The sequence below is a fragment of the Homo sapiens genome, chromosome 7 (genome assembly GCF_000001405.40).
Source record: "Homo sapiens chromosome 7, GRCh38.p14 Primary Assembly".
Classification (NCBI taxonomy): domain Eukaryota; kingdom Metazoa; phylum Chordata; class Mammalia; order Primates; family Hominidae; genus Homo; species Homo sapiens.
The window spans coordinates 129,337,606-129,352,872 of NC_000007.14; the positions used below are offsets into that span (position 1 = coordinate 129,337,606).

General features: G+C 38.4%; 1 protein-coding gene and 1 long non-coding RNA gene across 7 annotated transcripts in view, besides 1 other annotated feature; both read left to right on the forward strand.

Annotated features, from left to right (window-relative positions):
* The window catches only part of AHCYL2 (adenosylhomocysteinase like 2), a 205,182-nt gene that overhangs the window by 112,576 nt on the left and 77,339 nt on the right, over positions 1-15,267 (forward strand). The window lies entirely within an intron of this gene.
* Positions 2,136-2,700: an enhancer, noted in NCBI's record as "H3K4me1 hESC enhancer chr7:128979582-128980146 (GRCh37/hg19 assembly coordinates)". NCBI's record gives its function as "activates a minimal SCP1, AML or CMV promoter by ChIP-STARR-seq in naive H9 embryonic stem cells {active_cell/tissue: H9 hESC(naive)}" and the evidence as "EXISTENCE:reporter gene assay evidence [ECO:0000049][PMID:30033119]".
* Positions 3,172-14,872, forward strand: LOC105375500 (uncharacterized). The gene is made up of 2 exons (XR_927962.3): positions 3,172-14,056; positions 14,591-14,872. It is a non-coding gene; the product is annotated as an uncharacterized LOC105375500 (long non-coding RNA).

Sequence of the window (15,267 nt, forward strand, 5' to 3'; positions counted from 1 at the left end):
CCAGGCTGGTCTCGAACTCTTGACCTCAGGTGATCCACCTGCCTCAACTTCCCAAAGTGCTGGGATTACAGGTGTGAACCACTGTGCCCGTCCATGCCATAATTTAAGTCAGTCTTCTATAAGGATTTAAATTATTTTCAGTCTTTCTTTTCTTTGAGATGGAGTTTTGCTCTTGTTGCCCAGGCTGGAGTGCAATGGCACAATCCTGGCTCACTGCAACCTCCACCTCCCGGGTTCAAGCGATTCTTCTGCCTCAGCCTCCCAAGTAGCTGGAATTACAGGCATGCGCCACCATGCCTGGCTAATTTTGTATTTTTAGTAGAGACGGGGGTTTCTCCATGTTGGTCAGGCTGGCCTCAAACTCCCGACCTCAGGTGATCCACCTGCCTTGGCCTCCCAAAGTGTTGGGATTACAGGTATGAGCCACCGCGCCTGGCCAGTTTTTCTTTACAACAAAAATGCTTTAATGAATATCTTCATTATTTCATACATGGGGAAGTATATCTGTGGGACAGATTGCTAGAGGTGGAATTGCTGATTCCAAGGATGTATGCATTGTACTTTTTTTTTTTTAAGAGACAGGGTCTTGCTCTGTCACTCAGGCTGGAGTTCAGCTTACTATAACCTAGAACTCCTTGGCTCAAGCAATCCTCCTGCCTCAGCCTTCTGAGTAGCTAGGACTAAAGGTGTGTACCACCACGCCTGGCTAATTTGTAAATTTTTTTTTTCTGTAGAGACTGGAGGTCTTGCTGTTTCCCAGGCATGTGTCAAACTCCTGGCCTCAAGTGATCCTCCTGCCTTGGCCTCCCAAAGAACTAGGATTACAGGAGTGACCTGCTGTGCCTGGCCTACCTTATAAATTTTGATAGATATTACTAAATGGCTTTTCATGGAGAATAGAAACCAGTTTATATTCTCACCTGCAGTGGATGTGAGTAGCTGTTTCCTGCAACTTCATTAGCACTGTGTTATCAGACTTTCGGATCTTTCCTGTTCTGATGGATGAAAGGTGGTATGTCATTGAAGTTTCAATTTACATTTCTCTTTAAGGCCATTTGTATTTATTTCTCTTTCTATGTAAACTGGTGACATGCTCTGCGTACTTGCCTGTTGGATTGTTGGTCTTTTAAAAAATCAATTTGTTGGAGCTTTTTGTATATTGAAGAAAAAGGTCCTTTGTAATATGAATTGTGAATATTTCCCCCAATTTGTCATTTGTCTTTTGATTTTAATGTAGTTTAATAGAGCTTAATTTCTTAATAGTGTCTTATGTAGTTTGTGTCACATATAGGCCCTGTCCACTTTACGATTATTTTAAGTGATGGGTCTCTTTCAAATTTCTGCACATCCTTTGTGTTCGGATCTCACTTCCTACTTTAATGGAAAAATAGAAGCTATTAAGACTTTCAACTTGCTCCTTTCCTTTTATTTGGAAAGGCATCCTGTTTCCTAAGTTGGTATTGATTTGTTATCTAATTCTCAGTGCCCTTATTATATTTCAGTGATGTTGCCACATTGATTCTTCAACTTCTCCCTCGGTTCTAACTTCACATTAGCCATTTAGGTTCTTGTCTCTTATGTTTGCTTATTTGTTTGTTTTAAAGAACCAGTTCTAGGTGTAGAAAAACAGACACTCATACGTTCATGGTGGAAGTGCAATCTTGGTGCAGTCAATTTGGAGGGCAGTTTGAGAGTTAATATCTCTCAAACCTAAAAATGTATGTAGTCTTTGACCAAATTATTTCACTTTTTAGAAATGTACCCTATTGATATACCAAACATATATGAAAAGTATATACAAAGATATAAGTTACTGCAGTGTTTGTGATAGAAGAAGACTGGTAACTATCTTTGTTATATTTTTCAGTAGTTATGTATCCATCTATGTTTCCATGCCTTTAATGCAGCCATTAAAATTCACACCATTCTGGGGACTATTTTTTGCCATTTTTCTTTTCATTTTTAGAGACAGGATCTCTCACTGTTGCCCAGGCTGGCTCATCGCAGCCTCAAACTACTGGGCTCAAGCAATCCTCCCACTTCAGCCTCTCTGGTAGCTAGGATTACAGGTGCATTCTGCCATGCCTTGCTAATTATTTTTTTTTTTTAGAGATAAGGTCTTGCTTTGTTGCCCAAGCTGGTCTCAAAATCCTGGCTTCAAGTGATTTTCCCACCTCAGCCTCCCAAAGTGTGGGACTACAGGCATGAGCCACCTCGCCTGGCCACTAATTGATTTTCTTTTAGAATTTTGAAGGAGTACACTGTTATCCAGTTTTGCTCTTGTTGCTCTCTTTTTCCTTTTCCTCTGCTCTTTTTTTTTTTTTTTTTTTTGAGACGGAGTCTCGCTCCGTCGCCCAGGCTGGAGTGCAGTGACGTGATCTCGGCTCACTGCAAGCTCCGCCTCCCGGGTTCACGCCATTCTTCTGCCTCAGCCTCCCTAGCAGCTGGGACTACAGGCGCACTCCGCCACGCTTGGCTTATTTTTTGTATTTTTTTTTAGTAGAGGCAGGGTTTCACCGTGTTAGCCAGGATGGTCTCGATCTCCTGACCTTGTGATCCGCCCGCCTTGGCCTCCCAAACTGCTGGGATTACAGGCATGAGCCACCGCGCCTGGCCCCTTTTCCTCTGTTCTTTATGACTTTCTGTCCTGATCTGCCAGTTTAAAAAAAATAGTTTTTCAGGCCGGGCGCGGTGGCTCACGCCTGTAATCCCAGCTCTTTGGGAGGCCAAGACGGGCGGATCACGAGGTCAGGACATCGAGACCATCCTGGCTAACACGGTGAAACCCCGTCTCTACTAAAAATACAAAAAAATTAGCCGGGCGTGGTGGCAGTTGCCTATAGTCCCAGCTACTCCGGAGGCTGAGGCAGGAGAATGGCGTGAACTCGGGAGGCGGAACTTGCAGTGAGCCGAGATCGCGCCACTGCACTCCAGCCTGGGAGACAGAGCGAGACTCCGTCTCAAAAAAAAAAAAAAAAAATTTCTCCCCTTTGTCGTTTTATCTACTGTTTATAAAATTGTTTTTAACTTCCTCTTCCAATTCTTCTGTTGAAATTTTAAATTCCATTATTTTTAATTTCTAAGAACTGCTTTTACCCATTTGAGTTTTTTAAAAATTATGAATTGTTGAATTTTATCAAATGCTTTTTCTATATCTATTGAGATCATATGATATTTTCTCCTTTAATCCATTATGGTGGTAATTCTACAAAGTAGTATTTTAAATGTTTAATCACTCTTGAATACTTTGGATAAGCTTATATGATCATGCTTTTTTTACATTGCTGTGTTAGTTTGCTATTTTGTTCATGAGCTCATATTTTGTATATATATCTGTGTCCATGATTGAAATCAGTATATAATTTTCCTTTGTTGTACTGCCCTTGTCTGGTTTTGGAATCAAGGTTATGCTGGTTTGATCAAAAGTTGGCTGGGGCTGCAAATTATACTGACAAAAGACAAATTAACAAGAGAAAAACAAAGTTTTTCTTTTCTTTTCTTCAAAGTTTATGCATGGCACATACATAAGGAGAGCTCAGTGATGAGTAACTCAAAGAGGTAGTTAGAACTTGGGGTTACATAGCATCTTAGCAAAGAATAGAAATTTTTTAGAGAAGTGACAAGACAAAGGAAAAGGACATTGAGCTTCTAGGGGTAGCAAGTGTGGGAACACAAATATATGGAGAAACTAGGTAGATAAAGGCTAGTTAGCAAGGTTTGTTTGTGTTGACTCTCAGTGCCATCCTTTCTCCAGTGATGAGGCTTTTTATCTCCTTCCTGGTAAGGGAAGTGGTTGGGGGACACTTTCACAAGGGTAGAGGAAAGGTGGATGTGGGGAGGGAGGCTGAGAACTTCTGTGTCTGCTTTTTCTCAACTGCCTTCAGTGTGAAATAGTTCTTATGCCAGGGTAGCATACTCTGAACCCCTTCGTTAGAATTAACTAAAAGCATAGCATATAATTCTTTGGTACCACTTACCAGAGAAAGAAAGGGAAAGTATAGGAATGAAGAGATCTGGCGGCGGCAGTGGCTGGCAGGGTGGTGATGGAGGTGGGAGGCAGATGAAGATGGAATGGAGGACTGAGTATGTGTAAGTCATTGATAGCAGTAAAAGTGACTATTGTCCCCAAAGCTTTCTTGTCGAATGCCTGTGAATTTCGAGGGTGGGAATAACACACTCATGGTTATCATATGAAACCTATTTGTGGCAAGATAGTAGAAATAAAACAAACTGTGTAATCTGTCCACGATCTTGAGAATTTACCAACACTTGGGAAAAAATAGCAAGTGCTTAAAGAGAAGAATATCAGTGTAAAGGAGCATGGACTACAAGTCTGTTAAGTGGTACAGGCAGTAATTACAACCATTAAACCACTCAGAAGAATGGTTTATCTCCAGGGTTATAAAGGTAAAGCTTTATGTGGGAACCAGCATGTACTTTGGCATTAAGAGAAGGGAAGGAGAACAGAAAGTAAATAGAAAGAGTTTAATAAGAAGGAGACAGAGCAGGCATTTTAAACTGAGGAAATTATATGCAAAAGTACAGGGGTGGAGTTGGGAAGGGACACCAGTGTTGAAGTATTCCTGTTACTTGTTGGTATCATCATTCACCCTATCAGCTGGTAGGAGAGCACCAGAAACCCAAGTCTTCTTAGACTCCTCCTCCCCATTAACTCAAAGGTAATATCCAGAAGAAACAAAGAACATTTGTGGAAGGAGAGTAAGAGTCATGACTCAGTTTTGATCCTAAGTGACCAGAATAATAGATTTTAAAAATATATGGGTAGGGAGGTAGTTTGAAGGAGACAATAATGAAGAGAGAGACCCTTTCCTTTAAAATAGGAATAAAGAAGCAAAAGGTAGGTGAATATACCAAGAACTTCCAATTAAAAGATGAGGGAACTTGTAGTAATCTCCCTTCTGTGTGTTAGAGAATGCGGCTATGTAGCTTTGTACCTTGAGGGACTTAACAAGGGTTAATTATAATCAACTGTTGAAACACACTGTTCTAAACGCAGTATTATTCACTTGCCACCTATTTTGGGAGTTCATGTATAAGCATATAAAATTACCATTAGACTGTTTCAAAGTGGTAGACCTTATTTTAAAGTAAGAGCATTTATTTTACATGTTTAAAATAAGGGATATGTAAATCTTTCCTTTCTCCCTACTCACCTCTGTTCACCACAGGCAGTCATTGTTGACATCATCTTGTGCTTCATTCTAGAAAAATTTGGCATATATGTATATAATATTACACGTTATGTGTTACAAGTATATATTAACATACATATCTTGATAATGTATTTATACTATGTATCTTGAAACAATTTCATTTACATCTTTTAATTATGTGAAATCTTTTCTCTTTTCCTTTGGCCTCTGGCCCCATTTCCTTTATATAGGGAAGTATACTATGGGGATATAAATTCCAAATACCTGTTTTGTTTGTCTATCCAATTTTCTATTTCATTGCATTCACATTGGATTAAAGTTGCTTAAAATAGCAAAACATTTTCCTTTTTTATTTAAAATTTTTTGTCTTAAAAAGCATGAGGAGAAGGCATGGAAATATTAGTCACATTTCTTGGTATTCAATATTCCTGTGAGTAGTGTTTATTAAAAGCTCATCTTTCTTGCTTGGCATATCCGTACAGTTTCCTCCCACTAGAGGGCACTAGGATATTGTTTGTTTTTAGTGGTCTGTTTATGATGAACTTAGCATTAATTTTCATATGTTTTCTTATTTGTCCTGCATTATAATAGGAATTAAATTGTCATGCTGATGTCACTTTGTTAGCGATATATGGACAATTAAGGCACCTTCCCTGCTATCAATTATGACTTCGAAGACTATTTTGTGCTTAATACTTAAGAAGAAAGGGAGAGGGGGAGCTTAGAGCAATGGGAAGTTCCAGAAATAGACCTCTACCTATAGAATGAACTGGATTTTGAAAAAGAAGCCAAGATAATTCTGTGGGGAAAAATTTTTCTTTCCAACAAATGGTGCTGGAACAACTAAATACTGTTTGGGGGCAAAGTGAACTTTGTTTCTGATCTCATTCCAAGTATAGAAGTTAACTCAAAATGGATCATAGACTATAGAAAAAAACAAAGGAGAAAATCTTCATGACCTTGGGGTAGGCAAAACTTTCTTTGCACACAAAAAATACTCTAAAAGAAAATGTTTTGATAGAGTTCTCCAAAATTAGAAACTTCTATTCAAAAGACACAGGTAAGTAAATAAAAAGGCAAGCACAGACTGGGAGAAAATATTCACAATACATATACAGAAAAATGACTGGTATTTAGAATTCATATAAAGGAATCTAAAACTCAGTAATAAGATAATCTAGTTTCTTAAATGGAGGAATGATTTGAACAGACATAGCACAGTACATACTATATGAATGCTAATAAGCATATAAGATACTCAACACCACGAGAGAAGTGCAAATTAAAACCACAGTGAGATACTGCACACCTGCTAGAATGGCTAAAATTAAAAAGAGTGACAATAGCTACTACTGATGAGGGTGTGGGACAGTTGTAATGATCATGCATTGCTGGTGTGAAACAGTTTATTATAAATTTAATATATTCTTACCAGGTGACCCAGCAATTTCACCCTTACCTATGCATTTACCCAAGAAAATGAAGCCCATTGTTCACATGAAGACCTATACACAAGTGTCCATGACAGTTTGATTCATAATGGCCCCAAAGTGGAAACAACACCACATGTCCATCAATAAATGAATGGATAAATAAAGTATGGTACACCCATGTAATGTGCTATTCAGCAGTAAAAAAGAATGAACTACTCATATAACAGTATGGATGAATCTCAAAAACATTAAATGAAAGAAGCTAGATATAAAAGAGTATTTTATGATTCCATATGATTTGTATGACGTTCCATAAAAGGCAAATCTATCTATAGTAACAGAACAGATCAGTGGTTGCCTCGGGTTGTGATAGTAGTGAGATGAGTCAGCAACAAAAGAGAAAATAAACTGAAGTAACCAAAAATTATAAGTGTTATGAAGGAAACAAAGCAGGTGGCAGTATGTATAAAGGCCCTAAGTTGGAAAAGAAGACTGTTGATGGAGTATAGTGAACAAAGGAGTGAGTGGTGGGAGAGCTAAATAAGCTACCAGGTCATGCGGAAAGAGTCCTTAAAAGGGGCAGGAAGCGGGGAGGAAAAAAAAGAGTTCTTACTAACTTGACAGGGAACAGACTGTAGCTCAAATAGAAATCCTTCCTTCAGCTGGGCATGGTGGCTCACACCTGTAATCCCAGCACTTTGGGAGGCCGAGGCGGGTGGATCACCTGAGGTCAGGAGTTCGAGACTATCCTGGCTAACATGGTGAAACCCCATCTCTACTAAAAATACGAAAATTAGCCAGGCATGGTGACAGGTGCCTGTAATCCCAGCTACTCGGGAGGTTGAGGCAGGAAAATCACTTGAACCCAGGAGGCAGAGGTTACAGTGAGCCGAGATCATGCCACTGCACTCCAGCCTGGGCCACAGAAAAAAGAAAAGAAAAATTCTGCCTTCAGTGGGAGAGGGTAAGAAGGAAGCTGTGCATATGAGGTTTGCCTGGTGATTGGAAAGGGAGAGAGTTTACATCAGACATTTTTCTGTTTTCTTACATTTATTTTCTTTTTTATATATAAAGTAAGTCTGCCACCTGAAGGTGAAGAAGTTGAGGGGACAAACATACAGTATTCTTTTTGGGAGAGGATAGGGGAGTATGTGCCTACTAAAGAAACTTTGTAAGATGACTGAAGAACTATCGATGCTCATTAGATGTTTAGGAAGGTGATTTTAATATGAAACCTGTCAGCTTAGTCACACATGGTTTTTCTCTTGCAACATGTAACTGCTTGGGCCCAAACATGGAATTAATTAGTATATGTCATCAGAATTTAGGTTTTGCCTGGCAAAAATAATGAAGAGAGTGAAGGTGTTGTTGTGGTTGGCTTGCTTTAGTCTAGACCGTTGATGACTGAGTGAAGGTGTTTCTAGAGTCACATTATCAAGATGGACAGGAAATCTAGGCTAGAAAAGAAGGAAAATGAAACTGGGAAAGAGTTCATGAATAGGAAGACAATGATAGGATCATTGGCTGGAGAACACAGAATTATATACTGGGGCCATTTCTGCAAATGAAGTGGTAGGATAGGATGAAGTGATCTCAGAGTGACTTCCAGGTTTCCGAAATAGAGGCTCAATTATTGACATAGGTAATCCTAGAGGAGGAAGAGCAGGTTTGGGGGGGTAAGATGATGAGTTCAGTTTTGGACAGGCTGTGTTTGAGGAACCTGTGGGATGTATAAGTGGAGATGTCCAATGAGCAATTAAGTATATAGATCTGAGAGATCTGGGCTGTCTAAGTAGAGATTTAGCAGTTATCAGCATATAGATGATAACTGAAACATGGTAACAGAAAAGATTATCAGAGAGGATTTGTGGGATAAGAGAAGGTAAGGGTGTGTAATTTCCTTTTTCTACAACCAGAGTGGTTGTGGTGGTGGTTGGTATTTGGTTTTGTTCCTTTTCCTTCAGTATTGTGTCTCCTTTTTCAAATAAATCCTAGGAAATACAACATGGAATGATGGTAAGAGCAGAGTTAAAGTCCTGTCTTTGCTGTTTCCTACTATGTGCCTTGAGTAGTTAAACTTCTCAGAGCCTCAGTTTTTTCAACTGTTAAAAACAGTGGTATCAAAAGAATGAGAAGACAAACCACAGACGGAGAGAAAATATTTGCATAAGACCTATATGATAAAGGACTGTTATCCAAACTATGAAAAGAGCTCTTAATAATAAGGACACAAACAACCTGATTAAAAAGTGGGCAAAAGACATGGATAGAAAACTCACCAAAGAAGATATATAGATGTCAAATAAGCATCTAAAAAGATGCTCAACATCATATGTCATTAGGGAAGTGCAAATTAAAATCATTTGAAATACCACTACTCATCTATTAAAATGCCAAAATTCAGAACACTGATAACACCAAGTTATCAACACCTAATGAGGATGTGGAGCAAAAGGAACTGATTCGTTGGTGGGTATGCAATATTATACAGCTACTTAAAGACAGTTTGGTAGTTTCCTAGAAAACTAAACATATTCTTACCATACAATCCAGCAATTCCATTCCTTGGTATTTACCTAAAGGAATTGAAAACTTATATCCACACAAAAACCTGCTCACAGGTGTTTATAGCAGCTTTATTTATAATTGCCGAAATTTGGAAGCAATTTTAAAGATGTTCTTCAGTAGGTGAGTGGGTAAATAAACTGTGGTACATCCAGACAATGGAATATTATTCAGTGCTAAAAAGAAATTAGTGATCAAGCTGTGAAAACATATGATAGAAGCTGAAATGCATATTACTAAGTGAAGTAAGCCAACCTGAAAAGGCTACATACTGTATGATTCCAAATATGTGACCTTCTGGTAGAGGAAAAATATGGAGACAGTGAAACGATCAGTGGTTGCCAGGGGCTGGGAGAAGGGAAGGATAAATAGGCAAAGCACAGATTTTTAGGGCCGTGAAATCATCCTGTATAATGCTACAATGATGGGTACACATCATTATACATTTGTCTAAACTCATAGAATGTATAACACCAAGAGGGAACCCAAATGTAAACTGTGGACTTTGGGTGATAAAGATGCGTCAGTGTAGGCTTATTGATTAACTGTAACAGATGTACCACTCTGGTGCAGGTTGTTGACAGTGGGGGAAACTATGTCTTTGACGGGCAGAGGGTATATGGGAACTCTCTTTCTCCTCAATTTTGCTGTGAACCTAAAACTGCTCTTTAAACGTCTATTTTTAAAAACAGAACAGCTGTGATATGAAACTGCATGGAGACAGGTCAAATAACTAAGGACTACTGGTCTAAATTCAGAATCACCCTCAGCTGTATAGGTATTTATGTGTTCACTTGTGGCTTAGCTTACTGCTGCTTAATGGGAAAGTTTTGCTTCCCTTCCTCACCTCTGTTTTTTGTTTTTTTGGTTTTTTTCTTTACAGTGATAGTGAACAATTACAGTCCTTGGAAAGACTGAATTATAGCTTAATGAATGTACAGATACAAATGTCTGGATGTTTATATTGCCAGGGGTAGAAATGACGAGGGAAAACATGCAACCCCCACAATTAAAAGGCGTTTATTTCACTATTCTAAGGAATATTTGAATCTCCTTTCAGTTGTATCCCTTACCTTGTTTACTTTACACCCAAGTGGCATTTCATACTTGAAAGCTTTTCAGATAGATATTACAGTACCAATCTACTTTGGGTACCAGGACCTCCTTCCCCTGTGGATTCCAAAACAATTTCTGAAAATATGGGAGAAGGATCTTCAGTTATACCCACGTATACAAAATAGCATATGTCTGGATTAAAGATACATCTGGAAATTTATCCTACAGATATTCTCACACATGTAGAATATTCACTACAGCATTATACATTCATATGTAGAATGCATTACATTCACATGTAGAAGGATATTCACTACAGCATTGTATCATGGTGATAAACAAATAGCACAAGGTAGGAGCAATCTAAATGTCCGTTGGCAGGGAACTGGTTAAATAAATATTGGTATATCTATAAAATAGAACAATGTGCAGAAGTTAAAAAGAGTGAGGCAACTCTGTATATGGATAGTGAAAGTCTTCAAGATAATGTTGAGGGGGAAAACTGGATGCAGAACTACATGTATGATATGCTACCATCTGTGTAGAAAAAGAAACAATAACCCCCCCCCCACACACACACATACATGCTTTTATGAAAAGAATGTCTCTACAAGAATGCACAAGTAAGATTTCTCTCTAGAGAGGATATTCAGGTGCTGAAGGAAAAGGGTAGAGACTTTTCACCATATACTCTTTATATCTCTTGAACTTTGTGCCATAGTTAAAAACAAATGAAGAAATAAAATTCAGATTTTAGAAACCTATCTTATGGGATTATCATGAGGATTAAATGAGTCATGTATATAATCTAATGCATTGTCTGGCATGTAGTTAAGTATATAATACTTACTAAATATGATACTTACTAGCCGTTGTTTGTCCCTTCCCCTCCAGTTCCATAATTGCTGTTTGGAGGGTTCACAGGATTTATTTTCTTCACCTAGGCCAAGGATTGTTAACCTGAATGGATCAATGAACCTTTGAAATTGCAAATTTTGTATAAGCATATGCTTATTCCAGACTTTCCAGATTCTAGAGAGAAGAGGGTCTGTGACTTTAATCAGATTTGCTAAGGAAGGGAAGGTCCCATGGCCCTAAAAAGTTAAAACACACTAACCTAAGCTGTTTTGCTATTTTATGTTTCTTTCCACCAGAAAATACTCTGCTGTCAGATCGTTTTCTCTTTACAGCTAGGAAGAGACTCTGGCTGACTTTTATTCCTCACAACTTTTATCTTTTCTAAATATATCATGTCTAGGCAAGTAATTTAAACTTTCTAGGTCTCAACTTCTTAACTGTAAAAAGAAGTGATTGATCTGGACAAATTCAAAGGTTCCCTTCATCTTGAAAATGTTTTGATTCTATCTAGGTTTACTCTGTATGGGCTTTAAAAATTAGAAATATTGTCATAAACCAAGAAAAACCCTTATGCTAAGAATAATCTTTAGGTAGAGACCTAAATCTTGACTGAGGGATAAAATTGGAGGTTTGTATATACAAATATAAGAACTTATGTCAGGCCGGGCATGGTGGCTTATGTCTGTAATCCCAGCACTTGGGAAGGCTGAGGCGAGAGAATCACCTGAGGTCAGTTCGAGACTAGCCTGGCCAACATGGTGAAACCCCATCTCTACCAAAAAAAAAAAAAAAAAAAACCCACAAAAATTAGCCAGGCGTGGTGGCACATGCCTGTAATCCCAGCTACTCAGGAGGCTGAGTGAGGCAGGAGAATTGCTTGAACCCGGGAAGCGGAGGTTGTAGTGAGCTGAGATGGCATCATTGCATTCCAGCCTGGGCAACAATGCAAGACTCTGTTTCAAAAAAAAAAAAAAAAAAAAAGCGTATGCCAACCTGATTCCATATAGAACAGCCATGGTTTATTTTCACATTAGCAATAAAGCTACCTTACTAAAGAGATAGGGCTATGTAAGATGCCCTGGTAGTCCTGTTGACATCTCTGTAAAACCTCTCCCATCTCAAGGTCTTTTCTCTGCTTTGTTTTGGGAAAAGGGGAGAATAGTAGAACCAGTGAGTTGTAGTTCTACACTAATAAAAAATGCCTCTATCAATATTGATCATTATCTGTTACTTGATTGAAGTCCAGATCATAGTTCTTATTTATGAAAAACCAATCTGCATACTTTAACTCAGATGTACATTTAGTTATTCATATTATTGTACAACTCAATTACTCAGAAACATTTGTCCCAAATTTATACTGTGGTCATTTTTGCCTATTGCTTCAAAAGGCTTTATAGAAGATGGGATTCTTGACTTACAAGGCAGTTCAGGGTTAATCCATTCAACAAGCATGTGAAGATAAGGGCATTTCAGATAAAGCATGCAGAGGTACCTGGATTCAGGTTTTAGCTCTGTGTCTTATGAGCTCTGATCTTGGGTCAGTCACTTATCCTGTCCATACTTGTTTCCTCAGTTGTGAAATGGTGATAATAAAAGCACCTACTGTATAGCATTATAAGGATTAAATGAGATAATACATGCCAAAGCAACATAGTATTTGGAATGTAGAAAGCATTCAATAAATGTAGTCTTTTTTTTTTTTTTTGGAGATGGAGTCTCACTTTTGTCACATGGGCTGGAGTGCAATGGCGTGGTCTCAGCTTACTGCAACCTCTGCCTCCCGGGTTCAAGGGATTCTTTCACCTCAGCCTCTCAAGTGGCTGGGACTACAGGTGCATTGTGCCACCATACCTGACTAATTTTTGTATTTTTAGTAGAGACAGGGTTTCACTATGTTGGCCAGGCTGGTCTCGAACTCCTGACCTTGTGATCCTCCTGCCTCGGCCTTCCAAAGTGCTGGGATTACAGGTGTGAGCCATTGCACCCAGCCTCCTTCATTTTCTTTTTCTTTCTTTCTTTCTTTTTTTTTTTTTTTTTATCTTTTAGGGATGGAGTTTTGCTCTGTTACTCAGGCTCTCAGCTCACTGCAATCTCTGTATCCCAGGTTCAAGTGCTTCTCCTGCCTCAGCTTCCTGAGTAGCTGGGATTAGAGGCTCCCGCCATGATGCCCCGCTAATTTTTGTATATTTAGTAGAGACAGGGTTTCACCATGTTGACCAGGCTGGTCTTGAACTTCTGACCTCAGGTGATCCACCCTCCTCGGCCTCCCAAAGTGCTGGGATTACAGGCGTGAGCCACCGCGCCCGGCCCCGGCCTAATTTCTTTTTTAAAAGCAAACAATTCATCCTTAAGTATTAGAAATAGCATAAATTTTATTTTATTCTAGAATATTATTAAATTCTAAAATAGCAGTTTTAAATAATTTTAAATTTATGAAAGTTGAAAAAAGTTTTGAATTTTATTTTAAAACAAGTCAAAGATATATACTTATTTTTGGTGTTTCCGCATAGGCATAAGGAACACTTTTGGATTTTAAAAATAACAACTTATTGGATGATAGTGAAGTTACAGAGATTATAGTAGGTATACCTGGAGATACCAGCAGGAACATAGTAGAAATAATAAGCCAAAAACACTTTTATTTATACTGTAACCAATCTCCTTGGAAAACTTTAGAAAACACAAAAATATACAAGCATACATTCCATTTATTCAGCCTGATGACGTCATCACACATACAGCCTCTGGAAAACCCCACTCTACACTCAAGAGAGAATGAAAAGTGAAAAAGACAAAGGACATTTTAGTATTATGAAAATGCTTTTGACCTCAAAAGCCCCTGAATCAAAGGGAAAGGTGAAAAGGAAATCGCCATTGGCAATGGTAGAGGCTATGGAAGATTGGGTCTTGCAAAATTTATTAGAAGACGTTTCTGAAGAGAAGACCTTCTGAGGCACCCCTTTGCAGGTAAAAAAACATTCATGTCCTCTTTCTCCACAAAGCTTTTGTTAATCACCAGACCTCACAGTGGTCTCGCAGCACCTCTTAAAGCAGTGGTTCTCAAAATGTGGTCCATGGACTCCCAGGAGTCCCTGATACTGTTTTTCAAGGTCTGTGAGGTCAGAGCTGTTTTCATAATAATACTAAGGTGTTTGCCTTTTCTATGGTGTTGACATTTTGCACTAATGGTATATAAGCAATGATAGGTAAGTAATTAATAACCATTAGTTATTGTATTTGTCATTGGTGTGTACTTGCAGATAACATCTTTCTTCCAGTTTCACTTAGAATGTTTTTGATGAAGCCATTAAAATGATTAGTTTTATTAAATATCAATCCTGGAGTATAATTTTTTTTTTAATGAACTGGGAAGTACACATAAAGTACTTCGGCTGCATGCTGAAATATAATGGTTGTCTTGAGGGAAAGCATTCCTGATTGTTTGAGTTGCAAACTGCACTAGGCTCCTTTTTTTAATCATGTATCTCTTTTACTTTACAGAGAGACCATGGTTATTCAGGTTTGGGCATCTGGCAGATATTTTCTTGAAAATGAACGAAGTGAGCCTGTCTCAAGGAAACTGACAGTATTTGTTGTCAATGATAAAATTCAAGCTTTCAAATGGAAATTAGAATTTTGGAAAACCCAAACCCGCCACCATGAGCTTGACAGCTTCCAGTCAAGCTGTCCCCGGTGTAGACCTCGTATTTGAGCTCCAGACTCTCACTCTACCTATCTATATATATACTGTGTCCACATAAATGTTTCATATTCTAAATTTAACATGTCCACAATGGAATTTTTTATTTCTCCCACAAAACTTTCTCTCTTTCACCCTGCCCCAATTTTTCTCATCTTAGTAAATCACCTCCAACCCAGTTGTTCAAACTAGAATTGAAGTCATTATTTCTTTTTCCTCACCTCCTACGTCCAATCCGTTAGCAAGTCTTTTGAGTTCTGCTGTTAAGATAACCTCAGATCTGCTTGCTTTTCTCCACCTTTGCCATTAGCCTATTCCAGGTTACCATCATCTTGCACTTGATCTCCTGCATCAGGTATCTCATTGGTCTTCCCTTCTTGCCTGTCTCTAATCCATTTTCCACACAGCAGCAGATGTAAATAGAAATTATTTCATGTCACTCCATTGCTTAAAATCCTTTAATAATGCCCATTATACA